Source organism: Homo sapiens, chromosome 22, assembly GCF_000001405.40.
Source record: "Homo sapiens chromosome 22, GRCh38.p14 Primary Assembly".
Classification (NCBI taxonomy): domain Eukaryota; kingdom Metazoa; phylum Chordata; class Mammalia; order Primates; family Hominidae; genus Homo; species Homo sapiens.
In genome coordinates, this window is record NC_000022.11 from 29,241,316 (window position 1) to 29,268,775 (window position 27,460).

The 27,460-nt window shown below is 52.9% G+C and overlaps 3 protein-coding genes across 76 annotated transcripts in view, besides 6 other annotated features; 2 read left to right on the top strand and 1 right to left on the bottom strand.

Moving 5' to 3' along the window:
- EMID1 (EMI domain containing 1) overlaps positions 1-18,282 on the top strand; it is a 53,702-nt gene extending 35,420 nt beyond the window's left edge. For 6 of the 18 annotated variants that reach the window (XM_011529868.4, NM_001410828.1, XM_011529871.4 and 3 more), the window contains 3 exons: positions 2,130-2,174; positions 13,956-14,046; positions 17,502-18,282. In XM_011529868.4, the coding sequence (XP_011528170.1) occupies positions 2,130-2,174; positions 13,956-14,046; positions 17,502-17,629 (264 nt within the window). In that variant the 3' untranslated portion in view covers positions 17,630-18,282. The other 12 variants (XM_011529869.4, NM_133455.4, NM_001267895.2 and 9 more) reach the window with 5 other exon arrangements.
- Positions 18,281-19,135: an enhancer, noted in NCBI's record as "H3K27ac-H3K4me1 hESC enhancer chr22:29655585-29656439 (GRCh37/hg19 assembly coordinates)". NCBI's record gives its function as "activates a minimal SCP1, AML or CMV promoter by ChIP-STARR-seq in naive H9 embryonic stem cells {active_cell/tissue: H9 hESC(naive)}" and the evidence as "EXISTENCE:reporter gene assay evidence [ECO:0000049][PMID:30033119]".
- Positions 18,537-26,848, bottom strand: RHBDD3 (rhomboid domain containing 3). Of its 6 annotated transcripts, none has more exons than NM_001329536.1 (7): positions 26,774-26,848; positions 26,111-26,262; positions 24,164-24,353; positions 22,520-22,903; positions 19,387-19,549; positions 19,011-19,298; positions 18,537-18,922 (listed from the first exon to the last, which is right to left on the bottom strand). In NM_001329536.1, the coding sequence occupies exons 3-7, from the start codon at positions 24,309-24,311 to the stop codon at positions 18,745-18,747; spliced, it is 1,161 nt and encodes a 386-aa protein (NP_001316465.1). In that variant the 5' UTR covers positions 24,312-24,353; positions 26,111-26,262; positions 26,774-26,848; the 3' UTR covers positions 18,537-18,744. The 6 variants fall into 6 exon arrangements, 5 of the variants coding, with proteins under 5 accessions (NP_001316465.1, XP_024307977.1, XP_006724287.1 ...); NR_138044.2 differs by lacking the exons at positions 22,520-22,903; positions 26,774-26,848 and adding exons at positions 19,885-20,110; positions 26,433-26,666 and having other exon boundaries at positions 18,557-18,922; NM_012265.3 differs by lacking the exon at positions 26,774-26,848 and adding an exon at positions 26,433-26,666 and having other exon boundaries at positions 18,557-18,922.
- Positions 19,136-19,989: an enhancer, noted in NCBI's record as "H3K27ac-H3K4me1 hESC enhancer chr22:29656440-29657293 (GRCh37/hg19 assembly coordinates)". NCBI's record gives its function as "activates a minimal SCP1, AML or CMV promoter by ChIP-STARR-seq in naive H9 embryonic stem cells {active_cell/tissue: H9 hESC(naive)}" and the evidence as "EXISTENCE:reporter gene assay evidence [ECO:0000049][PMID:30033119]".
- Positions 26,545-27,416: an enhancer, noted in NCBI's record as "NANOG-H3K27ac-H3K4me1 hESC enhancer chr22:29663849-29664720 (GRCh37/hg19 assembly coordinates)". NCBI's record gives its function as "activates a minimal SCP1, AML or CMV promoter by ChIP-STARR-seq in naive H9 embryonic stem cells {active_cell/tissue: H9 hESC(naive)}" and the evidence as "EXISTENCE:reporter gene assay evidence [ECO:0000049][PMID:30033119]".
- Positions 26,809-26,868: an enhancer, noted in NCBI's record as "active region_18811". NCBI's record gives its function as "activates an Ori minimal core promoter by ATAC-STARR-seq in GM12878 lymphoblastoid cells {active_cell/tissue: GM12878}" and the evidence as "EXISTENCE:reporter gene assay evidence [ECO:0000049][PMID:35858748]".
- Positions 26,953-27,460, top strand: part of EWSR1 (EWS RNA binding protein 1) — a 32,254-nt gene continuing 31,746 nt past the window's right edge. For all 52 annotated transcript variants that reach the window (NM_001438500.1, NM_001438536.1, NM_001438532.1 and 49 more), the window contains exon 1: positions 26,953-27,034. In NM_001438500.1, the coding sequence (NP_001425429.1) occupies positions 27,022-27,034 (13 nt within the window). In that variant the 5' untranslated portion in view covers positions 26,953-27,021. The remainder of the gene's footprint in view (positions 27,035-27,460) is intronic.
- Positions 26,979-27,038: an enhancer, noted in NCBI's record as "active region_18812". NCBI's record gives its function as "activates an Ori minimal core promoter by ATAC-STARR-seq in GM12878 lymphoblastoid cells {active_cell/tissue: GM12878}" and the evidence as "EXISTENCE:reporter gene assay evidence [ECO:0000049][PMID:35858748]".
- Positions 27,209-27,298: a silencer, noted in NCBI's record as "silent region_13588". NCBI's record gives its function as "represses an Ori minimal core promoter by ATAC-STARR-seq in GM12878 lymphoblastoid cells {active_cell/tissue: GM12878}" and the evidence as "EXISTENCE:reporter gene assay evidence [ECO:0000049][PMID:35858748]".

The window sequence follows — 27,460 nt, forward strand, 5'->3', positions numbered from 1 at the left end:
GATCTAAGAAGAGTTGTTGATTTTTCAGTTTTTTTCAACTTTCCACTTGTTGTTAAGATGGAATGATAACTTCTAAGGTCTTTTTATTTTCGAGATGACTCTCGCCCTTGTCCCCTAGGCTGGAGTGCAATGGTGTGATCTCGGCTCACTGCAACCTCTACCTCCCGGGTTCAAGCGATTCTCCTGCCTCAGCCTCCAGAGTAGCTGGGATTACAGGCACCTGCCACCACGCCCAGCTAATTTTTGTATTTTTAGTAGAGACGGGGTTTCACCATGTTGGTTAGGCTGGTCTTGAACTTGTGACCTCAGATGATCCGCCCGCCTCAGCCTCCCAAAGCACTGGGATTACAGGCGTGAGCTACCGCACCCAGCCAACAACTTCTAACCTCTTTACATGCCAGGTTGGAACCCAGAAGTCTGTTTTGTTTTGTTTTTAAATCAAATTTGAAAAAAAAAAAGGTCAACATTTCCCCAAACATTTTTTTCTGTTTCTGCTCTCCAGTATGTCCTTCTGGAACTCCATTGATTTTCTCCCATGAGTCACTGAAGTTCTGTTAGTTTTTTAAACAATCTTTGTCTCTCTGTGCTTTATATTTCTTTATTTTACTTTTTTGAGATAGGGTCTTGCTCTGTCACCCAGGCTGGAGTGCAATGGTGTGATCACAGCTCACTGCAGTCTTGAGCTCCTAGGCTCAAGCAATCCTCCCACCTCAGCCTCCTGAGTAGCTGGGACTACAGGTGCACACCACCATATCTGGCTTGTTTTTTTGTTTGGTTTTTGTTTTTTCATTTTTAGTAGAAATGGGGTTGCTCAGGTTGGCCCCAAACTCCTGGCCTCAAGCTATCCTCCCACCTTGGCTAGGGAGCTATCCTCCCACCTTGGCCTCCCAAAGTGCTAGGATTACAGGCTCTGTCTGTACTTTAAATTATTCCATTGATCTATGTTCAAGTTGATTGATTACTTCTTCTGTTGTGTCCAATCTTATGTTAATTTCATCTGATAATTTTCTATTTCTGGTATTATCGTTTTCACTTCCAGGATTTCCATTTGATTCTTTTTTATAATTTATATATCTCTCCTAAAATTCTCCATCTTATCACCCATGATATCAATTTCAGTAGATTCTTTAACATATTAATCATAGATATTTTAAACTCCTTTGCTGATTCTAACATATAGGTCGGCTGTGGATCTATTTCTATTGACAGATTTTTCTCTTGAATATAGGTCACATTTTCCTGTGTCTTCACATCTAGTAATTTTTTGTTGCACACTGGACAAAGTAGATAATATGTTGAAAAGACTCTAAATTCTGTTATCTCCTGAAGAGTATTGAGTTTTATTCTAGAACAGTTAAATTATTGATGGGTCATCTTGCTCTTTTAGAGACTTAGTTGTAGGTTTTATCAGAGAGAATCTCTGGTTTTGCTCTTAGTCCTAGGAAAAATCCCTTAATCCTGAGATAGGGTCTTTCTTCCTAAGTCATGGCTGTTCTAGAGTTTCATTAGAAAGCTTTAGGTGTTCACAAGCACCTCTAACTTGGTTGGACTGGAACTCTAAACTCTGTCTCCTATATGGTGGGCAATTTTTGACATCTTTAGTCAGTTCTACCAATCTGTTGGTTCTCCCCCTCTGGGCTCCTTGGAGTATTGCCCTGTGATTGGTCAATCCAGGGACCATCCAAGCGTCAGAAAGGAACATTTATGCAGATTTAGTTCCCCCACTTGTAGCTCCCTGCTTCCCAGTATTTCTCATCAATTTCTTGCTTCTCTGGCAACCTCAACCTCTGATTCCTGAGGCCAATAAAACTGAAACTTTCTGCTTGAGCTCTTGTTTTGCCAGGCTGATGGGGCTGAGGTGCACCCTCTGAGGAAAAGCTGTAAATACATGGATTTTACCCAATGCCATTCCCTTCTTTTAAGGGTTGAATATTCTCCAGTGTCTGTCTGCTTTTTATTACTTTCCGTTGCCTTCAATCAGTTGGTTTTTGCTTTGTATCCAATACAAGCTACTTTCTGTTTCTCTAAGTTTCTCTCCCTTTCCCCGCTCTTTTTCCTCCCTCTTTTTTTCCCGTCCCTTTCTGTCTCCTTGCCTTCCTCACTGCTGCTATCTCTGTCTCTCCTTGCAGGGGGAACCTGGCCCTAAGGGAGACCCTGGTGAGAAGAGCCACTGGGTAAGCTCTGGCCTGGCACTGGCCTCTCCCTGCCTTCTCAGCCCTACATGCTCAAGAGAGTATTCCCTCCCCAGGAGGCCCTGGGAGTGGGAGCATCCCATCCACATCCCCACTACAGCCTGGTCTCCCAGGCAGGAGCCTTGGCAATTATCAGCCCCAACTCCTTCCCCCATCTTGTTGCTCCCAACCGGGCAGGGCCAGCCCTATCAGCAGACCCCATGCCTTCTGTCTCAGTCTCTGTCCCTGTCTCCACCTTCCCTCTGTGGCCTTTCCAGGCCAGGGTGGCTCTGCCTTTTCCTCCTGGGTGGTTTGGGCTGACCCAGGCCAGACTGCATCCCCTGCCTCCATAGCCCCCTCCCAGCCAAGGCTTAGCTTGCTCCCTTGTCTGCAGAACAAAGGGAAGAATGAAGACAATATCTACACAGGAGAATGGGATAGAGGACCTAGGAAAGGGGCCTAGAAATGATGAGGTACATAGGAGCCACGTGGTAAAAAGGACAGGGAACTAGATACCACCATACACATCGGAAATTCATGAAGCCTGTGAAGAGACGCCTCGAAACTGCTATGTACACGTTTGATGTGGTTAATGAGGCCAGGTGACCTAGACTCCTCTATACTTAAAGGACCTATAGTTTACACAAGGTCCTAGACACCATCACATACATAGGAGACCCATGATGGATGAGAAGGGAAGCCTAGAAACTCTCACATATACAGGAGACAGAGTAAATGAGAAGGGGACAAGAAGGGGGAACTAGAAACCACACACCGCAAAATCTCATGATTAATGTGGGGTCCTAGAAACCTTCACAATCGTCCGGGATGCCGTGGCTCCTACCTGTAATCCCAGCACTCTTGGAGGCCGAGGCGGGTAGATAACTTGAGGTCAGGAGTTTGAGACCAGCCTGGCCAACATGGCAAAACCCCCATCTCTAAAATACAAAAAAATACAAAAATACAAAATTAGCCTTAAAGGTTTGGGCTAAAAATACAAAAATTAGCTGGACATGGTGGTACGCACCTGTAGTCCTAGCTATTCAGGAGGCTGAGGCAGGGGAATCGCTTGAACCCAGGAGGCAGAGGTTGCAGTGAGCAGAGATCGCGCCACTGCACTCCAGCCTGGGCGACGGAACGAGACTCTGTCTCAAAAAAAAAAAAAGAAAAGAAAAGAAAATAGAAACCTTCACAATCATTGAAAATCATTGCAGGGGAGGGATTTTCGGGTTAGGACCTAGAAATCTACTCACCCAAGAGACGTGGGGGAAAGACGAGGACCCTAAAACATACCATACCCAAAAGCCCCACGACACAGGGATCTGGAAACCATCACTGACAGGGGAGACATCTGGAAAATGGACAGAGTGGAGGCAGACACTCCTTCAGGAGAGAGAGACAACTAGGAAGCTCTTTTTGGCGGTGGGGGGGATTGTGACTCCCCCTCCACATGCAGTCTGGCTGGGACACCCTACTTCCTGGCAGTCACAAGTTAGTGAGGATGTGGGTGGCACCCAGTGCCTGCCTTGCCCTCTTAGTTCTTGATTGTGGGGTCAGTGATGGATACAGCCGTGGGAGCCCCCTACCCTGCACGAGTCTTCCCCTGTGTCTGCCCATGACTTCTGGTGCCCTGCTACCTCTCCAGTTAGCCTCTCCTGGCCCCTGCTGTCCTGAATCTCCTCCTACCCCATACCCATCCTCCGTAGCTCCAGAGTCTCTTAATACTGCCAGTATGGACATGAGCTGAGCTGGGATCAGATAGACCCATGCAAGCCTGGCTCTCTGCCTCCCCTAGGCTAATTACTGGCCTCTCCCAGAGGCCCTTGGTCTGGGAACACATTTACCACCCAGTCCAGGAGGGGTGGGAGAGATTGGGCAGTCCTGTCCCTTCATGAGAATCCCCGGCAGGATGCCCTGGCCACCCTAGACCAGTCCTTGAACCCAGAACCACCTGTGGGCTCCCCGCAAGAGGTAGCAGGGCCCCTGCCCACCCACCTTCCTGCCCCTCTTCTACCTGCACTTCTGCCCCTGCTTGCTGCTTGCCTGGGAGGGGACCCACTGGGCTGGGGGCTGCATGAAGCTTTGGGGGCTGGGGGAACAGCTCTGTTGGGGACAGGTGGGAATGAGGTTCAGTGCTGGCAAGGTCCCCGAGGGCTCCTATGTACACTTCACCAACCAACTCCCTTAGTGCAGCTTGCAGATGCGTTCTGGCTGTGGCCCAGCAGTGACACCTGGTGGTCATGATAGTGCACTGCAGGAACTGGAGTGACTGTGCTGGGCCTGCCCACCTGGATCAAAGCTCTCACCCCTTATTCAGACAGGGAAACTGAGGCCCGACTCGGCAGAGAGAATCCTTGGCAGAGCGGGAACTGGAGCCCTGACTTTTAAGTTCCTAGGGCCAGAGAACCAGCTACCATTCCCCAAGCATCTCCTCCATAGGCACCAGACCTGGAGCTGGGCACTGTTTACACAGATGCAATTCAGACACAGTCCCCACCCTCAGGGTGGTCACAGTGAGGTGAGGGAAAAAAGACCTATAATCAGCAGCTACAGGACTGTCAACTTTATAAACACTTTACACTTTAGCATCCTCCCGGAGGAGCCAGGTGAAGCCTGAAAGGTGCATTAACCAGGCACGGAGTGTCCAGGCAGAGGCGAGGGTACAACAGGTGCAAAGGCCCTGTGGCAAGAGGGAGCCTCGGATATTTGAGGAGCTGCAAATACTTGGAGTGGCACTGTGACAGGTAGAGAGTGGAACAGAGGCCAAAGAGGCCTTCAGGGTGTAGGAGGCCACGTTCAGGAATTTGGACTTTGTTCTAGGGCAGTGGGGAGGCATTGAAGGCTCTAGAAGCAGCAGAGTGATGCGGTCAGGTTTTTTTTATTTGCAAAGAATCCCTCTGATTGCCATGGCGAATGGATGGGAGAAGCAGAAAGACAGTAGGTCGGGGGCTGTCGTGGTCATCCTGGTGAGAGACTGAGCCGGGCAGTGGGTGGGAGCCAGTGAGGACAGACAGCCGTCGATGGAGCAAAAAGACACTTGTGTGCTGGTCTGGCTGCAAAAGGGAGTGAGGAGTCAAGGGAGACTTAAAATAGCAAAAGAGAACCAGGAGAAGCAAGCAGGCTGAGTTTTGTCTGTGGACCAACGGGAGGAGTCTGTGTTACAGCCAAGTAGGGTTGTCCAGCAGGCCCAGACACTTAGATCCGGAGTGCAGAGGGCAGGCCAGGCTGAAGGAGACTGGGTTGTCATCAGTGCAAACATCAGGCCACCTGGTCTGAGGGAGTTCCAAACAGTGGATTTTAAAAACACTTTTCCCCATATTTTTCTTTTTAATTTTATGTTTTAAAAAATACAGACAAGAACTCACAATGTGTCCCAGGCTGGTCTCAAATTCCTGGCCTCAAGTGATCCTCCTACCTCAGCCTCCCAAGGTGTTGGGATTACAAGTGTGAGCCACTGCACCTGGCCTCCCCAATATTTTTGTTTATTTTTATTTTGTTTTTTTCCTTTTTTATTGAGACAGAGTCTCTATCGCCCAGGCTGGAGTGCAACAGCTCAATCACAGCTCACTGCAACCTCTGCCTCCTGGGTTCAAGCAATTCTCGTGCCTCAGCCACCTAAGTAGCTGGGACTCTGTAGCCATGCCTGGCTAATTTTTGTATTTTTAGTAGAGATGGGTTTGCGCCATGTTGGCCAGGCTGGTCTTGAACTCCAGGCCTCACGTGATCCACCCGCCTCAGCCTCCCAAAGTGCTAGGATTACAGGTGTGAACCACTGCACCCAGCTATTTTGCATTTTGATATACAGAAAAGTTGGTACAATGAATGTCATTCTGCCCTTCCTGTAGATGGACCAATTATTGGTACAGCCATGTGTCACTTAATGATGGGGATATGTCCTGGAAAATATGCCATTAGGTGATTTTGTTGTGGCATGAGCATCATACAGTGTACATACACAAACCTAGATGGGATAGCCTACAACACACCTCAGCTGTATGGTGTAGCCAATTGCTCCCAGGCTACAAACCTAAACAGCACGTTACTACGCTAAATATTGCAGGCAACTGCAACACAGTCGTAAGTATTTGTGTATCTAAACATAGAAAAGGTACAGCAAAAATACACCATAAAAGATTTTTGGAGCTTTTTTGTTTGTTTGTTTAGGACAAAATCTTGCTCTGTCGCCCAGGGTGGAGTGCAGTGGTGTGATTTCGGCTCACTGCAACCTCCATCTCCAGGTTCAAGCGATTCTCTTGCCTCAGCCTCCTGGGTAGCTGGGATTACAAGCATGAGCCACCACGCCCAGCTAATTTTTTGTATTTTTAGTAGAGACGGGGTTTCACCATGTTGGCCAGGCTGGTCTCAAACTCCTGACCTCAAGTGATCCGCCCACCTCAGCCTCCCAAAGTGCTGGAATTACAGGCGTGAGCCACCGCGCTGGTGAAATTAATTTTTTTTTTACTTTTTTTTTTTTTTGAGACAGAGTCTTGCTATGTCTCAAGAAAAGTACAGTGGAGTACAGTGGCTTGATCTCGGCTCACTGCAACCTCCGCCTCCTGGGTTCAAGCGATTCTCATTGCCTCAGCCTCCCAAGTAGCTGGGACTACAGGTGAACGCCACGATGCCCAGCTAATTTTTTTGTATTTTTAGTAGAGATGGGGTTTCACCATGTTGGCTGGCCAGGCTGGTCTCAAACTCCTGACTTCAAGTGATCCGCCTGCTTCGGTCTCCCAAAGTGCTAGGATTCCAGGTGTGAGACACTGTGCCTGGCCCTTTTTTTTTTTTTTTTTTTTTCACTTTTTAAATGTTTTTGCTAAAAACTAAGACACAAACACATACATTAGCCTAGGCCTACACAGGGTCAGGATCATCAGTATCACTGTCTCCATGTCCACCTCTTGTCCCACTGGAAGTTCTGGGCAGTAACATGCATAGAGCTGTCATCTCCTATGATAACAATGCCTTCTTCTGGAATACCTCCTGAAGAACCTGCCTGAGGCTGTTTTACAGCTTAACTGTTTTTTAAATAAGTAGAAGGAGTACACTCTAAAATAACAATTTAAAGTATAGTATATGACCAGGTGCAGTGGCTCACATCTATAATCCCAGCACTTTGGGAGTCCAAGGCAGGAGGATCACTTGAGCCCAGGAGTTCCAGACTAACCTAGGCAGCATAGCGAGACCTTGTCTGTACAAATAAAAAAATTAGCTGGGTATGATGGCATGTGCCTGTGGTCCCAGGTACTTGGGAGGCTAAGGTGGGAGGATCGCTTGAGCCGGGGAAGTCGAGGCTGCAGTAATACGAGATCACGCCACTGCACTCCAACCTGGGCGACAGAGCAAGACTCTGTCTCAAAAATAAATAAGTAAGTAAAATATAGTAAATACTAGGCAATGGGAATTTTTTGGCTCCATTATAATCTTATGAGACCACTGTGGAGATATGCAATCCATCGTAGACTGAAACATCATTATGTGATGTATGACTGTATTGAGCCACAATTGTTCTGTCATTCTCTCTTACATATTTATAGATCTTTTTTTCAAATTCATTTAAAAGTAAGCTGCAAAACCCAGCCACGTTTCCCCTAACATTGCAGTGTGCACCGTGAATGAATATGGACATTCTCCCACATTACCACAATACCGTCGTCATACTTAAGAAAGCTAACATTTATTTAGCAAAATGATGCCATTAAATATGTGACTTACCTGTAAATGTTACCAGTTGTCCCCAGATGGCTTTTCTTTTTTTTTTCCTTTTTTTTGAGATGGAGTCTCTGTCACCGAGGCTGGAGCACCAGGACGGAGTCTCTGTCACCCAGGCTGGAGTGCAGTGGCGTGATCTCAGCTCACTACAACCTCCGCCTTCCAGGTTCAAGCCATTCTCCTGCCTCCAGTTCTTGAGTAGTTGGGATTACAGGCGTGCACGCACACCACCATGCCTGGCTAATTTTTGTACTTTTAGTAAAGACAGGGTTTCACCATGTTGGCCAGGCTGATCTCAAACTCCTGACCTCAGGTGATCCGGCCATCTCAGCCTCCCAAAGTGCTGGGATTACAGGCGTGAGCCACTGCGCCTGACCCCCAAAATACCTTTATTATTTATTTATTTATTTATTTATTTATTTATTTATTTATTTTTGAGATGGAGTTTCACTCTTGTTGCCCAGGCTGGAGGGCAATGGTGCAATCTCTGCTCACTGCAACCTCTGCCTCCTGGGTTTAAGCGATTCTTCTGTCTCAGCCTCCCATGTAGCTGGGATTGCAGGTGCCTGCCACCACGCCTGGCTAATTTTTGTATTTTGAGTAGAGACGATGTTTCACCATGTTGGCCAGGCTGATCTCAAACTCCTGATCTCAGTTGATCTGCCCGCCTCAGCCTCCCAAAGTGCTGGGACTACAGGTGTGAGCCACCACGCCTGGCCCCCAAAATGCCTTTTAAAGCTCTTTTTTTCCAAAGTCCAAGATCTGGCTGGGCAAGGTGGCTCATGCCTGTAATCCCAGCACTTTGGGAAGCCAAGGTGGGAGGCTCTTTTGAGCCCAAGAGTTTGAGACCAGCTTGGGCAACATAGGGAGACACCTGTCTCTACAAAAAAAATAAAAAAATTTGTTTTCAATTAGCTGGGTGTGGTGGTGCACACCTGTAGTCCCAGCTACTTGAGAGGCTGAGACGGGAGGATCATTTGAGTCCTGAAAGTCAAGGCTACAGTGAGCCATGATCATACCACTGCATTCCAGCCTGGGCAACAGAGCAAGACCTTGTCTCAATCAATCAATCAATAAAGTCCAAAATATAATCAAGGTTCTCACACACTGCGTTTGGTTGTCACATTTCTTGTCTCTTTTAACTTAGAACAGGCCTCCTGCCTTTTTCTTCTTCTCTTGACTTTGTCTTTGTGTGAATGTCCCACAATTTAAATTTGTCTGATTGTTTCTTCATGATGAGATGCAGGCTAAATAATCTTGGCAGGGGCACCTGTGGTGCCTTTTATTGTACCTCGTTAGGAAGCTCATGATGTCAGCTTGTCCCATTGTCCATGCCAGGAATGGCTTCATGGAATTTTATTTTATCTTTTTTTTTTCTTTTTTTAATTTGAGACAGAGTCTTGCTCTGTTGCCCAGGCTGGAGTGCAATGGCATGAACTCGGCTCACTGCAACCTCTGCCTCCCAGGTTCAAACGATTCTCCCACCTCAGCCTCCAGAGTGGCTGGGATTACAGGCATGCACCACCACACCCGGCTAATTTTTTTTTTTTTTTTTTTTTTTTTTTTTTTTTTTAGTAGTAGTAGAGACAGGGTTTTTCCATGTTGGCCAGGCTGGTCTCAAACTCCTGACCTCAGGTGATCCATCCGCTTAGGCCTCCCAAAGTGCTGGGATTACAGGTGTGAGCCACTGTGCTCAGCCTGGAATTTTTTAAGATCATCTTTTTTTATTTTTTATTTTTTGAGATAGGGTCTTGCTGTGTTGCCCAGGCTGGAGTGCTATGGCATGATCATGACTCACTGCAGCCTCGACCTCAGGGGCCCAAGCCACCCTCCCACCTCAGCCTCCCAAAGTACTGGAATTACAGGTACACACCACCACGCCTGGCTAATTTTTTAATTTTTTCTTTTTTTGAGACAGGGTCTCTGTCGCCCTGGCTGGAGTGCAGTGGTACGATCTCAGCCCAGTGCAGCCTCAGCCTCCTGGGCATCAATCCTCCCACCTCAGCCTCCCAAGTAGCCAGGACTACAGGCGCACACCACCATGCCTGGCTAATTTTTGTATTTTTAGTAGAGATGGGGTTTCGTCATGTGGGCTAGGCTGGTCTGGAACTCCTGAGCTCAAGCAGTCCACCCACCTCAGCCTCCCAGGGTGCTGGGATTACAGACGTGAGCCACTGCATCTGGCCATTTTTTTTTTTTTTTTAGAGATGGGGTCTCACTATGTTGCCCTGGCTAGGCTCAAGTGATCCTCCCACCTTGGCCACTTAAAGTGCTGGGATTACAGGTGTGAGCCACCATGCCAGCCCCCCCGGCGTTTTTTGAGACATGGTCTTGCTCTGTCACCCATCGTGGAGTGCAGTGGCACAATCATAGCTCACTGTAGCCTCAAACTCTTGTGCTCAAGTGAACCTCCCACCTCAGCCTCCACAGTAGCCAGAACTACAGGTGTGTGCCACCACACCCAAATAATTTTTTTTTCTTTTTTTTGAGATGGAGTCTCCCTCCGTCACCCAGGCTGGAGTACAGTGGTGTGATCTCAGCTCACTGCAACCTCTGCCTCCTGGGTTCAAGTGATTATCCTGCCTCAGCCTCCCAAGTAACTAGGACTATAGGTGCACACCACCAAGCTTGGCTAATTTTTGTATTTTTAGTGGAGATGGGGTTTCACCATGTTGGCCAGGCTGCTTTTGCACTCCTGACCTCAAGTGATCTGCCCACCTTGGCCTCCCAAAGTGTCATTAGGTGCTGGGATTACAGGACAGCTACCGTGCCCACTCTAATTTTTAAATTTTTTGTAGATATGGGGTCTTGCTATGTTGCCCAGGCTGGTCTCAAACTCCTAGCCTCAGGTGATGCTCCCACTTTGGCCTCCCAAAGCACTGAGATTAGAGGTGTAAGTCACTGTGCCTAGCGAAGGTCATTCATTTTTAGATCCTGCCCCTGTAATACTCGAAAGGGGATTACTTTGGCATGCAGCTCGTGGTGACCCTGGGACCCCCAGGCTGAAATGGCCATTCAGCGGCCTGAGGGTCACCCGATCCATGTGATGTGGACAGGACAGCTGGATCACAAGGGTCAGCCCCAGCGAGCAGGCTCACTCATGATGGACATATTGAGAGACCTCTTAGTTGTTTAGATGGTTTTGTGGGAAGCAGCAACCTTAAAGGGTTGGCTTGTAATTATACAATTATGCATATTGTCTATCCCTTCACTTATCTGTACTGAGTAAAGGGCACCAAGAGAGATTTCCAGATGTTGTCAGAGCTGGGATAGTTCTATTTGTCATCCTGGTGCACTGTTGGAATTGAGAGATCTACATTCTGGAAATAGCTTTGGTCTGGACTAGGAAAGAGGAAGGAGTGAGGGAGTGTGGAGCGTTGTCAAGACTATGGACCATATGCTGGGGAAGGAAAGGATGCAGATGGGGAGAAAGAGATGAGGTCTCTGGCATGAGCCCTGGGTAGCAGCTGGTACCACTTGGGGAGTGGGGAGCCCCAGAGCTGGTGGCCTTGGAGGAGGGGCTTTGTGAGCCCAGTGCCACATCCCTGGGGTCTGGGAGCCAGAGACAGGGAGAAGCAGACCCGTACTGCTAAGAGGAGAGGGCTGGGCTGAGGGTGACGCATCAGGATGTGCCAGATTGTGGACCTGGCATAGTCTAAGCCCTGGGAGAGGTGAGCACTGTTTTCCAGGCAGGGAGCCCAAAGCGTGAAGACCTGGGGAAGGGACAGAGTGCTGAGCCTCAGGTTTCTCAGAATTTTAAGCGCAAGTTCTCCAAAAGCAATGTAACTCAAACCTTGTCTAATTTTATTGACATACTGATGGTCCCCAGCTTACGATGGTTCAAATTACAATTTTTCAACTTTACAATTGTGCGAAAGCAATATAGGCTTTCAGTACATTCCTCAACTTACTTCCAAATAAACCCATCGTAAGTTGAAAATATTGTATGTCAAAAATGCACTTTTTTGGCCAGGGATGGTGGCTCACGCCTGTAATCCCAACACTTTGGAAGGCTGAGACAGGAGGATCACTTGAGGCCAGGAGATCGAGGCCAGCCTGGGCAACATAGCAAGACCCTTGTCTCTTAAAAAAAAGAAATGTGTTTGGCTGGGCGCGGTGGCTTACGCCTGTAATCCCAGCCCTTTGGGAGACCGAGGCGGGCAGATCACCTGAGGTCAGGAGTTCCAGACCAGCCTGACCAACATGGAGAAACCCTGTCTCTACTAAAAATACAAAGTTAGCTGGGTGTGGTGGTGCATGCCTGTAATCCCAGCTACTTGGGAGGCTGAGGCAGGAGAATCGCTTGAACCTGGGAGGTGGAGGTTGCGGTGAGCTGAGATCGCGCCATTGCACTCCAACCTGGGCAACAAGAGCAAAACTTCGTCTCAAAAAAAAATGTACTTTTGACTTGTGATATTTTCAACTTACACTGGGTTTATCTGGATGAAATCCCATTGAAAGTCAAGGAACATCTATATATTCATTTGGGCATAAGTGGAAATACTGGTAAGTAGCCTGAACTCACTGATCGGAGTAATTAGGGTGAGGCTAATGTGGTGATTTAAAGCAAAAAGAATGTGAAGTAAATAAGCATATAGGTGGCCAAGAGATATAGTCATGCAGGTGTTGGGAGAGCAACTGGTGCTGGGCGACAGACATTAGAGGACAGGAGGGCTCCCAGCAGCTTCTGGGACTGCCGTTCTGCCCCTGAAGATTGGCTCCCCCTGCCTTCAGCGCAGCAGGATTTGCGGCCTTGTCAGAGAGCAGCCAGCTGGGATCCAACGGGACCTTCTGGGAGGTCCTGCAGGGGTTGCTTCCTTCCGTCTGCCTTGTTGTCCCCCTCCTGTCCTCACCTGGTCTTGTTCTGGCTGTCCATGGACCCTGGGCTGTGGCAGGTAGTGTGGGGCTGCAGGTGCATGTCCCGGGTGGGGCATGGGCCACCGACGGGCTTTGCAGGGTCCCCTCCCCTGCCCCCTTCACGGCTGCATCTGTCTCTTTCCTCCACAGGGGGAGGGGTTGCACCAGCTACGCGAGGCTTTGAAGATTTTAGCTGAGAGGGTTTTAATCTTGGAAACAATGATTGGGCTCTATGGTGAGTAGAGACAGACAGACGGACAGACGGCCCAGCCCCTGCCTGCCAGCCTTCCCCAAGCCCTCCTGGGGTGGAACTGGCCTGAGCCCAGTCATGAGGCTGGAGAAGGTGCCTGCCCCAGGCAAGCATGGACCTGAGAGGCCACAACCACCCTTCCCTCAATGACTGGTTCCCTCCTCCACGGGTGCAGGGGTGCCCTAGAAACCCGGGCCCTGCTGCTGTGGTCAGACCTGGGCCTCTAAGCATTATGGGTAGTGTGGTTTCTAGGCCTGCAGGGAACCAGAGATGAAAGATTTTAAGTTTGGAAGAAATTATGGGCAATGGAACCAAACTCCACTCCAGCAGTGGGATTGTGGGTAACAGAGCCAGACTCCTGGAGTGCAAGGAACCATGGGGAATCCAATCACAGCTCAGGACAACAGGAGGATTATAGGTAATGGATCCAGACTCTAGTCAGCCTTCAGCTCTAGAGAAATCATGGGTAACAGAGTCAGGCCCGCAGGACAATAGGTCATGGAGCAAGACTCCAGAAGGGCAGGGGACTGTGGGTGACAGAGCTAGGCTCAGGCCCCAGGGGACTCTGGGTAATACACCACCTACTAGTTCTGACTTTCCTCTCCCATAAGCCCCCAGAGGCTCTCACAAGGCAGATCCTCCTGGTCCCAGGTGTCCCCTTTGCAGTTTTCCCTTTGGTCCTCCTAACCTGTTCTGTTGGTCCCTTTAGGGGACTAAGAGAGCCAGGCCCTCACTCACCCCAGGCATTCATTCACCCAGAAACTCTCCACCCATGTGGTTATTTGAGGAGCCAGGCCAGCCCTGTCCCCACCATAGGAGGGGAAACTGAGGTCTCAGTACTGAGACTCACTCCCAGGCTCCTGCCCTGACGCCAGCTGGCAGTGCCCTCCCACCCTCCCCGCTTGGCTCCCCAGCCCAGCCCTCGGAGGCCAGACTCGCACCGTCTGCTCTTCTCCATCTCCCATCAGGCTCCTAGCTTACAGAGCTTCCTGCAGCAGCAGGCTCAGCTGGAGCTCCTGGCCAGACGGGTCACCCTCCTGGAAGCCATCATCTGGCCAGGTAATGGCAGGGCGGGCAGGCAGGGGCAGCCTCTTCCAGGAAGGGCCTGGAAAAGGCCTGGGCATGCAGAAGGCGCCTTCCGATGCTTGGCCCAGGCCAGCGGACACTCATTCTTCATCCAGCCAGCCAGCCAGCAAATGGTGCCTGGCAGAGAGAAGGCTCTGGTCACTTGAGTGAATGCGCACCTGCTCTGTGCCAGGCACCTTGCTGGGACAGGCTCCACAAGATAAGACAGACACAGTCCTGCCCTTGAGGAGTGTAGGGTGCTGGGGGGCTCAGGAGAACCCTGACACTGGTAGAGAAACCCAGGTGAGCTACACTGCAGGAAAGGGAGTACAGGCAGCCATGGAAATACAGAAGTGCCTCTGGCCTGGCCCAGAGGAGGTTGGAGGGGGGTCAGGGAGGTCTTCCTGGAGGAGGTGATATCTAAGTGAAGACTTGAAGGGCAAGGATCTGGGGAGAGTGAACAGGCAGAGAAACAGCATAAGCGAAGGCCAAGAGACCAGAAGGAGCCTAGAAGCAACAGAATCTGGCAGGGCCTAGATTGAGAAGGTCCTAGAAGGCAGGTTGGGGTAGTACAGGAGGTGGTTAGACACCAGTGGGTGGTACCCCTCCTTGCGTCTGGCTCCTGGGAGTGAGGCTGAGAAAATCTCTCCCCATGAAACTGGAGCCTGTGGCTGGCCCTGAAGAAAGGAAGGGATTGGCCACCCGAGGGGCTGAGCTCTATTCCTCACCTGCCCAGCCGCCCTATCTCGCAGCCCAGTGAGCACATCAGTGCACAGAGGCCTCCATATCATGTCCAACCTCGCATCTATTTTAAAGACTGAGAGGCCGGTCATGTTAGCTCACACCTGTAATCCTAGCACTTTGGGAGGCCGAGGCGTATGGATCACCTGAGGTCAAGAGTTCAAGACCAGCCTGGGCAACATGGCGAAACCCCGTCTCTACTAAAAATTAGTTGGGTGTGGTGGCGGGCACCCGTAATCCCAGCTACTCGGGAGGCTGAGGCGGAGAATCACTTGAACCCAAGAGGCAGAGGTTGCAGTGAGCCGAGACCGCACCACTGTACTCCAGCCTGGGTGACAGAGCGAGACTCCATCTCAAAAAAAAAAAAAAAAAAAAGACTGAGAAACTTAGATCCCAAGCAGGAAGAAGGGTTAAGGTTAGAGCCCAGCCTCCTTCATCCAGCAAAACTGTAGGGAGCACTCATTGAAAGCCAGACCTGTTGGGCACTGGTGCTCTGGAGTACAGATAGGTGCTGGCCTTGGGGAGCTGGCCATGAGTGGCAGGGAATCGTATCTACGGAGATATGGGGTAGGGGAGCATGGAAGGATATGGATGAGGAAGAGTCACTTGTCCCTAGGGGTTGGAGAAGGCTTCTTGGAAGAGGGGACTCTGCGTTGCGTCCTGGAAGATCCCAATGAGTGTGCCAGGTGGGGAAGTGGGTCGGGCAGCCTTGAGAGAGTCCTGCCTGTGCAGAGGCCCAGAGCCTGGGAAGGGTGTGGGGTCTGCTTCCAAAGCTCCTCCCACAGTGCCACATGCTTCTCTAACTTCTAGAAACTTCAGTGCCTAGCTCCCAGACCTCCTCCCCTCTTACAGAGAGGGGCCAAGGACCAAATCTCAGGCTCTCAGAACCTTTTTAGGTGTCTCCACCTCCTCTCTGAGGATTGGAGCAGGAGCTAGAAGGGACACATTTGAGCCACCATGTCCCTGGATCTGTCCCTGCCTTCAGCCAGCTCTGTCTCTGACAGCCCAGGGAGAAAAGTGCCAGACACCTCAGAAGTCCCACACCCACTGCCAGTGGCCCCTCAAGCCAGCTTGGGTCGGGGCTTGGAGGGACAGGTCGGGGGACTGGGAAATGGGACAGGGAAGGAGGTGGGACCCTCCCCATTGGCGCAACATACACATCAGGTGCTACTGAAGACCCAGATGGGGTTCATGTTTAGGTTATAATCAATAATTATGATAATAGTATCAGCTGCCACGTGTCTGGCCCACCTGGGCTGGATTGATCATCTCCAATCTCTTAGAGGAGTAAACTTGCTAGGTGAGCGATGCCGTGGCCATTTTACAGGTGAAGAAACAGAAGCTCAGAGGCTCCTGTGACTGCTTCAGAGTCACAGGAATGGGAATGGTCAGGCTAGGGGTCCACCTCAGGTCTCCCCTCTAAAGTCCTGGCCCTTTGGACTGCATCAGCAAAGGTTTGCTGACTCTGCCACTCATCCAGGGCCCCAAATTTGATTGTGACAAACTCACAGGGGCCAGACCTGCAGGAGACCTGGGTGGAAGCGACACCAACCTAGTAACCATAATAATCCAGCATTTCCCGTGAAAACCACTTTCCAGTCCTGGTCACGGTAAACACATGTATCACAAGGGTGTGAAAATGGGACTATTATGCCCACGTTCCAGATGACGCTCAGAGGTTCTATGACTTGCCCAAGGCCACATAACTGGCAGAGTGGGACCAAGCCATGATCCCAGCTGGCATTGGGGCCAGTGCTCTGTGCCACTCCCCTCCCACGCTCCCTAAGGCATGGAATGTCCCTTTCAGTGACCACACATGCCTGTCTGCTCCGGGAGCCCTCAACTCAGCCCAGAGGTGCAGGGCAGGCTGGGCCACACAGGGTCGGGGCACTGGCAGTCATGATTACGACGGACAGCCCACTCCATGGCAGTGCCCTCAGTGGGAACCTGGTGTTTACCAGAACCCAAGTATCTGTCCTATGGAGGCTTAGCCAAGTCCTCCACCGTGGCCCTCTCCTCCCTGAGTGTCCATCTCCCCCTAGAAAAACAGCCTATTCTTCTGACCTGCCTGGCCTGCTCATTTTACTTTGGGAAGGGCTGAGATGATAGGCACAGAAGGCTTCCTGGAGGAAATGGCTCCTACCCTTGGTTTTGAAGGATGAGTAGTTTTCTGGTTCCATCCGGAACTGTCCCTGTTTCAGAGATGAGATGACTGAGGCCCTGACAGAGGTCCAGCTTGCCCAAGACTGCACAGTAGGTCAGTGGCAGAGCCTGGCCTCCTAAGCTCTTTCCCCCAACTGGTGGCCTAGCCCATGTCTGTTCCCTGGCCTCAGTTTACCCAGCTACCAAATGGGGATGACTCAGGGCACACCTCCACCCCAAAATGAATAGAAAAAGAAGCAGCCTTTCTATGAAGCATTCACTGCATCTAAACACTTCCTAAAGGAGGTGGGTGTGGTTATCCCCACCTGACAAAGCAGGAAGCAGAGGCCCTGAGTGCTCTCCTTGGGCTGGGGGGCTGGTAAGTCCTGGCGTGAGGCACCAACCAATCTGCAGACCCCCTTTCCCACAGCTCTGCAGCCAGATACCAGGGTGGATTATACCTGGCAGAGCGTGCCCGGTTCTGCCACCCCCTAGAGGGCCAAGGGGAGGTGGGCACCTCACATGAACCCCTCTAATGTGGCCTCTCTCCTTCTTCCCTCCGGCAGAACCAGAGCTGGGGTCTGGGGCGGGCCCTGCCGGCACAGGCACCCCCAGCCTCCTTCGGGGCAAGAGGGGCGGACATGCAACCAACTACCGGATCGTGGCCCCCAGGAGCCGGGACGAGAGAGGCTGAGGGTGGTGGCGGCCCCTGAGGCAGACCAGGCCAGGCTTCCCCTCCTACCTGGACTCGGCCAGCTGCCTCCAGGGACCGCCCGTCCATATTTATTAATGTCCTCAGGGTCCCTTCTGCCATCTAGGCCTTAGGGGTAAGCAGGTCTCAGTCCTGGCACCATGCACATGTCTGAGGCTGAGCAAGGGCTGAGAGGAGAGGCTTGGGCCTCAGTTTCCCTCTGTGAAGTGGGGGGAGGCAGGCCTTCAAGGAGGGATAGAGGTACAAGGCTTCGTCTCATCTGCTGTCTGAGCATCCAGGCCCAAAGGCACTGAGGGAGTCAGGAGCTGGGGCTCGGCACATGCAGAGATGACAGGGCAGGGGGCAGTCTTCCTCCCCCTCCCCGACCAAACCTCGGGGAGCCCTCCTGTGCCCCTCCCTCCTTGTTGTCCAGTGCTGGGCTCCCCACCCCGAGGTCAGGCTGCCCAATCCTCTGACTGGATCACCGGGGGCTTCTTGCCTCAGTTCTTCCCTCTGAGCCCCCAGGCCCTCCCGCATCTCAGGTTGGGGATGGGGACATGGAGAGGAAGGGGCCGCCTACTCCTGCAAATGCTTGTGACAGATGCCAGGAGGTAGATGTGTGCTGGCCAATAAAGGCCCCTACCTGATTCCCCGCAGCTTGGTCTCAGTGTGTGCTTAGATGGGGGCAGCTGGGAATGAGGCTACGACGGAGAGGGCTAGAAATGGGCGGTGGAGAATGCTCTGTGCTGGAGGACAGAGCCTCCTGGAGGTATAGGCTGCAAGGTGCAGGGCCAGGAAGCCTGTGTCTCTGGACATCAGGGAACAGCTCTCCCACAACTGGTCATTCATTTGGTGCTCACTCATTCATTCATCCCCCTGATGCCAACACAGAAGAGTCAAACACAACTGCTGCCTCCAAGGAGGTCCAGGTTGAAAAACAAACTGGTTTTTATTCTAAACACGTACTAGGGCAGCATGCTGGGGGGCCTCTCCTGCCTCCAGAGGTGCCCCTGCTCCCCACTGTGGCCCTCTTTAGACAGAGTAGGAGCTCGGGCTACCCACATGCAGCCCAGCCCTTAGCACCCAAGGGCCTGCCTGTGCCCCACTCTCTGCCTGGGCTAGGGAGGCCCAGGACCCTCGGAGTGGGCAGGCCCACCCTTTCCATGGGTCACCAGGGTCTCAGTGCCCACTTGTCCTCCAACCAACAGTGACACGGCACCCTCCACACGGCCTGTGGCTGCCAGTGCCACCACCGCCTGCTCCGTAGGGAAGCCCATGCGCTCCAGCTGCTGCAGCCTGTTGGGGGTGGGGGGAGAAGTGGGGAGTGTCAGGGCCACCCCGGCCCCTATACCAGGGGACCCCACCTCTGCCCACCCCACCTTACCGCAGAGAGGAGACAGAGGACTTGGACAGCCATGGTGCGCTCTGGGGTTCCTGGGCTGGCCCGTCAAGAAGCGAGGCCTGGATGCCCTCCTGCAGCATCTGCTCATCCAAGGCCGCCCACATCGGAGTCCCTGGGGAGAAGCTGGCCCCAGCCCAGTCCAGGCCTGCCTCTGAGGAGCCCTCCCAGGTGGGCTGCACAGGCCTCAGGCTTGGTGGGGGCAGGGCTGAGTCTTCCCAGTGGGACCAGAGGTCAGGGGAGGCCACATAAGGCGGTCCAGGGATGGGAGGCCTGGAGGAGTGGGAAGAGAAGAGGGCCTGACTGGCAGCCCTGCCACAGTGCCCACCACCTGGACTGGCATCCCCCCCATCACCCTCACCTCACTCCGGCAGGATGGGTGACAGGCAGCTCCGCCAGGCTACCCGGGGTGGCAAGGAGCCTCAGGGGCCAGCACCCCGCCAAGGTCCTGCACAAGACGCCCTCCTGCAGCACCTGCAGCCGTCGCTCTGAGGGTTCCAGCCACCGGAAGGCCCCAGCTGCATCTGTCTGCCCGGGGCAGGGCGGCCGGTCAAGGAAAACCAAAAGCAGCCAGGGGTGGGCCCACGCCACAGGCCAGGCCCCATGCCAAGTGTGCTGGCCACCATTCCCTCCCGTCTCCTCACTGTGGACCAGCATGGAATAGCGTCACCCTGGTCAGCAGCAGAGGCTCAGAAAGGAAAAGGGATCTGCCTGAAGCTACTCAGCCAAACAGAGCCAGGTATGCCTCACCCCAAGGCCTGGGCTCACCCGTGACCCACTCTGTTCCCAGAACCCTATGCACCTTTTCAGGTCTGTAACTCAAGACCCACCCGTCCTGGAAGAAGTCCCATGGACACACCTGCTATTGCCTTCAGACAGGCCTGGATAACTCCTGTCACCAATCCAGAGTGCAGAGGCCAGCCTGTTCTCTCCAGTGGCACTGTTTTCCCCGATAGGTATGAATCATCTTAGGGCTGGACGCAGTGGCTCACAGCTGTATAATCCCAGCACTTGGGGAGGCTGAGACGGGAGGATCACTTGAGGCCAGGAGTTCAAGACCAGCCTGGGCAACATAGACCCCGTCTCTACAAAAAATTTTTAAAATTAGCTGGACGTGGCAGTGCACACCTGTAATCTCAGCTACTCAAGTGGCTGAGGCAAGAGGATCGCTTGAGCCCAGGAGTTTGAGGCTGTAGTGAGCTATGATGGCGTCGCCACACTCCAGCTTGGGTGACAGAATGAGACCCTGTCTCTAAAAATTAAAAAAAAAATCTCAGAAGCAGAACACCAATAAAGAGTGCTCTAGCACGACTTATTTATTTATTTATTTTTGAGACAGAGTCTCACTCTGTCACCCAGGCTGATATGCAGTGGTGAAATCTCGGCTCACTGCAACCTCCAACTCCGAGGTTCAAGCAATTCTCCTGCCTCAGCTTCCCGAATAGATGGGATTACAGGCACGTGCCATCACACCTGGCTAATTATTTTGTATTCTTAGTACAGGGTTTCACCATGTTGGCTAGGCTGGTCTCAAACTCCTGGCCTCAAGAAATCGGCCCACCTCAGCCTCCCAAAGTGCTAGGATTACAGGCGTGAGCCACTGCACCCAGCCTCTAGCACCATTTATTAAAAAGAATATTCTTTTCCTCATTGAATCGACTTGGCACTCTTGTCAAAATAAATTGACTATACAGTAAATCTAACAGTTTATTTCTAGATGGTCAATTCTAGTCCATTGATCTGTATGTCTATCCTGATGCCAGTACCACAATATCTTGATTATTATAATTTTGTACGGCTTTTTTTTTTTTTTTTTTTTGGAGAGAGTCTTGCTCTGTCGCCCAGGCTGGAGGGCAGTGGTGCAATCTCAGCTCACTGCAACCTCTCTCCTGGGTTCCAGCAATTCTCCTGCCTCAGCCTCCTGAGCAGCTGGGATTACAGGCGTGTGCCACCACACCTGGCTAATTTTTGTATTTTTAGTAGAGATGGGGTTTCACCATGTTGGCCACGCTGGTCCTGAACTCCTGACCTCAAGTGATCTGTCTGCCTCGGCCTCTCAAAGTGCTGGGATTACAGGTGTGAGCCACCGCACCTGGCCACTTTTGTAGTTTTAAGTTTTGAAATTGAAAAGTGTAAGTCTTCCAGGTTTGCTTTTCTTTTTCAAGATTATCTGAGGTATTCTGGGTTCTTTACATTTCCATATTATTTTTAGGACCAGCTTGCTAATTTCTGCAACAACAACAAAGACAGCTGAGATTTTGATAAGAATTGTGTGGGATCTATAAATCAACTGAGTAGCATTACCATTTTAACAATATTAAGTATTCCAATCCGTGAACATGAGATCTTTCCATTCACTTAGGCTTTTAATTTTCTTTTTTTTTGAGAGGAAGTCTCGCTCTCTCGCCCAGGCTGGAGTGCAGCAGCGCTATCTTGGCTCACTGCAGCCTCTGCCTCTCGGATTCAAGCAATTCTCCTGTCTCAGTCTCCCAAGTAGCTGGGACTACAGGCGCCTGCCACCACGCCTGGCTAATTTTTGTTTTTTGGGGTTTGAGACCGGAGTCTCACCCTATCGCCCACGCTGGAGTGCAGTGGCATGTTCTCGGCTCATTGCAGCCTCTGCCTCACAGGTTCAAGTGATTCTCCTGTCTCAGTCTCCCAAGTAGCTGGGACTATAGGCGCCTGCCACCACGCCTGGCTAATTTTTGTTTTTTGGGGTTTGAGACCGGGGTCTTGCCCTGTCGCCCAGGCTGGAGTGCAGTGGCATGTTCTCGGCTCATTGCAGCCTCTGCCTCACAGGTTCAAGTGATTCTCCTGCCTCAGTCTCCTAAGTAGCTGGGATTACAGGTGCACGCCACCACGCCCAGCTAATTTTTGTATTTTTAGTAGAGATGGGGTTTTACCATGTTGGCCAGGCTAGTCTCGAACTCCTGACCTCGTGATCCGCCCACCTTGGCCTCCCAAAGTGTTGGGATTACAGGCATGAGCCATCGCGCCTGGCCTAATTTTTTTATTTTTAGTACAGATGGGGTTTCACCATGTTGGCCAGGCTGGTCTTGAACTCCAGACCTCAAGTGATCTGCCCGCCTGGCCTCCCAAAGTGCTGGGGTTACAGGCGTGAGCCACTGCGCCCGGTCAGGCTTTTAATTTTTTTAATTTTTAATTTTTGCTCAGGGTGGTTTGGCTATTCTGGGCCTTTTGTGGTTCCATATAAATTTTAGGGTTATTGTTTCTATTTCTGCGAAGAATGGCATTGATATTACAGGGAGCCCACGTAGCCCTTTACATTGTAATTGGCACCTCCACCAGGCCATAAGACCCCAGGTCCCAGCCCAGAGCATGTCCCAGAGGAAGACTCAGAGAAGCTCCTGGAATGTGTGTGCACGGCTCCTTGGTATTGCTTGGGCCTTCACCCCTTTGTGCCACTTCCTTCCCAGGCACCCACCCACAGAACCCACACATCCCCACGGGCCCTGGGCTCAGGCAAAGGATACAGGCCAGGCCGGCAAGGAGGCCGCAAAGGAGCTGCAGGAAGGGTGGCTCAGAGCTGAGCAGTGGGGTCAGGGCAAGCAGCAGCCACGGCGACAGCCACGGTGGCAGTGCCCCACGGGGCCGTCTAGGGCGGTGTCCCTCCCCAGCCAGCATGGCCAGGTGGACAGGCATGTATCCACAGCTGCCGGCTGCACTGGACAGCCCAAGGCCTGCCAGCAGCACTGCCAGCAGCCCAGAAGCCAGGGCGAGCAGGGCTGAGGCATGCAGGAATCTCAGCGTGCCCAGGTGGCACTCCTGCTGCCAGCCCACAGTGGGCAGGAGCAGCAGGCTCAGGAGCAGGCCTGGCAGGGCCGTGTGGCCCAGGGCATGGGTCAGCAGCCGGTGCACTGGGAGAGAGAAGGGGCTTATGTGCCAGGTTAGTGGCCCCAACATCCAAGGCTGTCCCAGGTGTGCCAGGTTGAAGGTTACGCTACACCAGGGCCACCTGCTGAGCCCACCTCCCCTCCCCAGGAGCCAGTCTTCCCACAGCCAGCACTTAATCATTGGTGGAAGGGACCAAGGACTTCCAAACACTGTGGCTACGCCTCTGTGGTATTAAACAGAATACACTGGACGTGCCACTCAGTCTTTTCACTGACAACCCGCTACAGAGCACTCACTATGTCCCAGACACCATGAAGGTACTCTGCTTCTGTATTTACTAAATCATACCTGGCTGAGAGCATGAAATGGCCTGCTTCAATCCTGGAGCTACCCCATTCCCTCAAGCTGTGTGACCCTGGTCAAATCACTTAACCTCTCTGAGCATCATTGGGGGTCCTCAAATACAAATTGGAGGAGTTATTATTGGGAAACAGGTGCTCAGCTGAGGTCACTCCTCAAAACCCCAACACCTCCTCCTCCCATCCTGATGCTTAGTTGAAAGTCTTAGCTGTTTTTTTGTTTTGTTTTGTTTTGTTTTTTGAGATGGAGTCTCACTCTGTCACCCAGGCTGGAGTGCAGTGGCGCGATCTTGGCTCACTGCAAGCTCCGCCTCCCAGGTTCGCGCCATTCTCCTGCCTCAGCCTCTCGAGTAGCTGGGACTACAGGCACCCGCCACTACGCCCAGCTAATCTTTTTGTATTTTTAGTAGAGACGGGGTTTCACCGTGTTAGCCAGGATGGTCTCAATCTCCTGACCTCGTGATCCGCCCGCCTCGGCCTCCCAAAGTGCTGGGATTACAGGAGTGAGCCACTGCGCCCGGCCAATTTTTGTATTTTTAGTAGAGACAGGGTTTAACCATGTTGGCCAGGCTGGTCTCGAACTCCTGACCTCAAGTGATCCACCTGCCTCAGCTTCCCAAAGTGCTGGGATTACAGGCGTCAGCCACCTGGCCTTAGTTCTTATTTCAAGGAAAAGCTGCTAGAAAGGGAAACCATGAGAAAAGCACTCCTACCCATAGGTTCCAGCCCACCCTAGGGAGTCCTCTGCCTCCCTTCTTGGCTGTGGATGTGCTGGGCATGCTCCTGTCTAAGGCCATGCTTTCCCGGGACACTGGGCCCCATCCCTGTTTGACCCCTGGAGGCCTTGTGCTGCTCCTGCCAAGTGGGCCCAGGCCCTACAGCAAGTCTCCTGCTTCCTCCAAGGTCCACGTGGCTGGCCCTCACCCTGCCAGGGGTCCAGCAACAGCTCCGGGGCCAGGACCAGGCCGGGGCCGGCCCCCACCAGCCACAGGGTGCTCATCAGCAGCATCAGGACTGAGGAGGCCAGAGGCAGTGCTGGGGACAGTTGGCCATGGGGGCCCCTGGCATGCATCGCTTGGTTGAGGACGGTCAAGGGTGGTCCTGGGGCTGTGTGCTGGGGATAAAAGAAAACAATAACAAGTTATTACTGGAGCTTTTATCTCACCAATACCCTCTCAAGCACCTTATCAACAGCCCTATTTTACAGAGGTGGAAACAGGCTGGAGACGCAGGCCCAGCAGCTTGGCCTTAGTGGAGCTCAGACCCTAACCCATGCGCTCATAAGCCATCTTACCATTCCACTCACCTCTGTTTAAGGACTGGCAGGGGACAGGCATAGAGACTTCTGAGTCCTGATAGGCCCTGAACTCCCAAAAAGAGGGGTTCAGGCCCTCACCCCCCAGGGCGAATTCAGGGCCATCTCTAGCCCTCTTCTGTCCTCCCCCTTCCCTCAGACTACTACCTCCCTCCTTCCTCCCCTCCCCTGTTCCCAGCCTTAATGCTCCAGATGGTTTCAGTTGCCCTTGACCCTGGGGTGGGGCCAGACAATGGGCAAGCCGACAGGGTAAGGGGTAGGGCAGATGGGCAGAAGTCCCACATCTTGAGCCATACTCAGAGACCTGCGACTGAGACATCCCCTTTGAGGGTGAACCCATCCACTGTAAGCCTCCTCCTGCTTCCTTACTGGCACAGCCCCTCTGGCCCTGGCTCCCCTTTCCACAGGAAGGGTACAGTATGCGCTCCACCTCTTTCTGCTCTGTGTCCTGAGGCAAGTTTCCAACCTCATCTTTTTACAGATGAGCCTCATTTTACAGATGAGCCTCTCCTTTCTCATCTGTAAAATGGAAATTCATAAATTCTTTTCCTCAGAGTATGATGAAATAAAAAGGAATAGGCTAAGGCAGGCCCTGGCCCACAACTCTTCCTCCATAAACCATAGCAATCCGCACTAATCATGGCAGGCGTCTGTAGCCACCAACTGGCCCATCGAGAAGGCCTCAATATGGAGGTGGCTGCTCCAGCCTAGCTGGTCCCAGCTTTGGCCCTCAAACATGGCCTTTCCCTGCCCACCAAAGCAAGGCCTTCTCCCCCGTGCTGTTCTCTTGCATCCAGCCTGTCCTCCAGGGCCTGTAGGTCTTCACCCCTGGTCAGGCCTCTCGGTCCCAGGACTCCCACTGAGCTGATTCAGGGCAGGAAGCAGGATCCCAGAGAGACAAGAAGGCTGCCTAATTTGCTCCCCTGCCAAGCGCCTTCTCCACATCTACCAGTTTCCTGCAGGAAAAATGTGGAAAGCTCCTCTGCCTGCATTGTCCTTCCCTCCATTTTGCCAGCAGGCAAACTCCTATTTCACCCTTGGAAGCCCAGCTCAAATATCCCTTCCCCTCCTCTGGCCCCCTAACATCATGGATCTTATCCTTAGGAGCACAGCTTGGCCAGTCTGTCTCCCTAGGCAGGTGGTCTGAGCTCATGGCTCCTCTGATCCAACCCCACATTCCCCAGGGTATTCACAGCACACAGCCAGTGCTTTATATATGTTCACTGAAAAAAGGACACTAGCTTGGCTCCTGGTCCTGCCGAGGGATTTGAAGGTGAACCCTGCCCTTCGCGGACCCGGGCATCCACCTAGGGGGCTGGGGCTAGAGGTCCAGGAAGGTGGGCAGGGTCAGCCTTGCCTGGAGGCAGGGTTTGGGGCCAAGGCACCCACCGTAAACCTCCTCCTGCATCGACACCTCACAACCATTCCCCAGCTCTGGGCACCTTAGCAAGGGTGAAGGGCTTACCCGTGGACACTCGGAACTGGGACTTGAGCCCCCTGGACCTCACTTTCTTCAATCTATGAAACGGGGCAGTGCACCACCAGGCCCTGCCTACCTTACTGGGAAGCCGGGAGGGCAGAATGGAAAGACAAGGACGGAGATTCTTCCGGTGGCGGATAGAGTAGGGGGTCCCAGGATCTGTCTGGTTCGAACTCAGCTGGTGACTTTGCAGAGATACTCAATTTCCTTGGGCCTCAGTTTCCCCTTCTGTAGAAACAAGGATATCGGATGAGGGATGATTAAAGGGCCTGCTCCACCTCGACCGTTACCGGGGATAGGGTCTCGGGGCCAGGCACGGCGTTCGAGGCCTCCCACCCAGCCGACCGGCCTTGGGGACCCTTCCCCGCTGGCCCGGGCCACGCGTCCCGGGTACTCACTGCAGAGCGCGCCCGGCAACCCCGAAAGGCCGGTCGGGGACCCCGGCTGGGAGTCAGGACTCTAGCTCCCGGGCGCGACCCGAGAACCCTGAATCCATTCCGCGCACACCCGGCCGCGTGACCCCTGCCGACCGGCTGGCGCGCCACCCATTCCCCGCGGCCCGCGGATTAGTCAGCAGTTGTTCTAGTCCGGGTCCCTTCCCCCAGCCCTCCCGCCGATCTCCGTCTCCCTGCAGGGCCGACTCTTCAGCGACCGTCCCTAGAGCCAGCGGACGGAACCATTCCAAACAGCCTAGTCTCGTGCTGAGAGCCTCTCCGGTTTCACGCTGAGACCCGCTCACCCCCGCTCTGGCCCCTTAGATGCTATTTTGGCCCGAGTGTCACGTCGGGCGCTCTTTAGAGAGGACTGGGACAAGAGTTGCGGACGCGAAGAACGAGTAAGCGGTGGTTCATCCCTCCTGACCCCACCCCCGTGGCCTGGCCCGATGGTCGCGCCCGGGGTTGCGAGATTTGCGCCTGCGCAGTGCGGCGCCTAGAGGGAAAGCGAGAGGGAGACGGACGTTGAGAGAACGAGGAGGAAGGAGAGAAAATGGCGTCCACGGGTGAGTATGGTGGAACTGCGGTCGCGCCGGCGGTAGCCGGAACGCCCAAACTGGGGGTCGTTCGTCTCTGGGCTTGGCTGGGAAGACTGAGTGGAGTTGCCGAGAGGGGGTTGAGGCACCCGCCGCGGCCCGACGAGCTCGGGGATCCGCATTCCTCTCCCCTCCCCCAACCGGGCGGGCCGGTTCTGGAATCTTCCGGCGCCCGTGGCGCGCGGGGGGCTTGCTGCGGCGGGGGCGCGCGGGGCCCGCCTTGGCCTCCATTGTGTGGCGGTCCTCGCGCCCTGAGCTCCGGGCCTCCCGCCACGTGGGCGGGGCCTGCGGCCTTCGAGGCCCTGCGTGAAGGGGAGGATTTGGCCAGGCCTCAAGCCGGTCACTATGAAACCGCCGGGGGGCCCGCAGGCTGCTGTCCCTGTGAGGCCTCCCTCC

What these genes read in the sequence shown, in the direction of transcription:
- RHBDD3 (XM_024452209.2), bottom strand. Translation starts at nt 23,060, where the DNA reads ATGATTAAGTGCTGGCTGTGGGAAGACTGGCTCCTGGGGAGGGGAGGT. An exon ending in ACCCATCCTGCCGGAGTGAG is followed by an intron (nt 19,299 to 19,386) that starts GTGAGGGTGATG and finishes CCACTCCTCCAG; the next exon opens with GCCTCCCATCCCTGGACCGC. An exon ending in TCCTCTGTCTCCTCTCTGCG is followed by an intron (nt 18,923 to 19,010) that starts GTAAGGTGGGGT and finishes CACCCCCAACAG; the next exon opens with GCTGCAGCAGCTGGAGCGCA.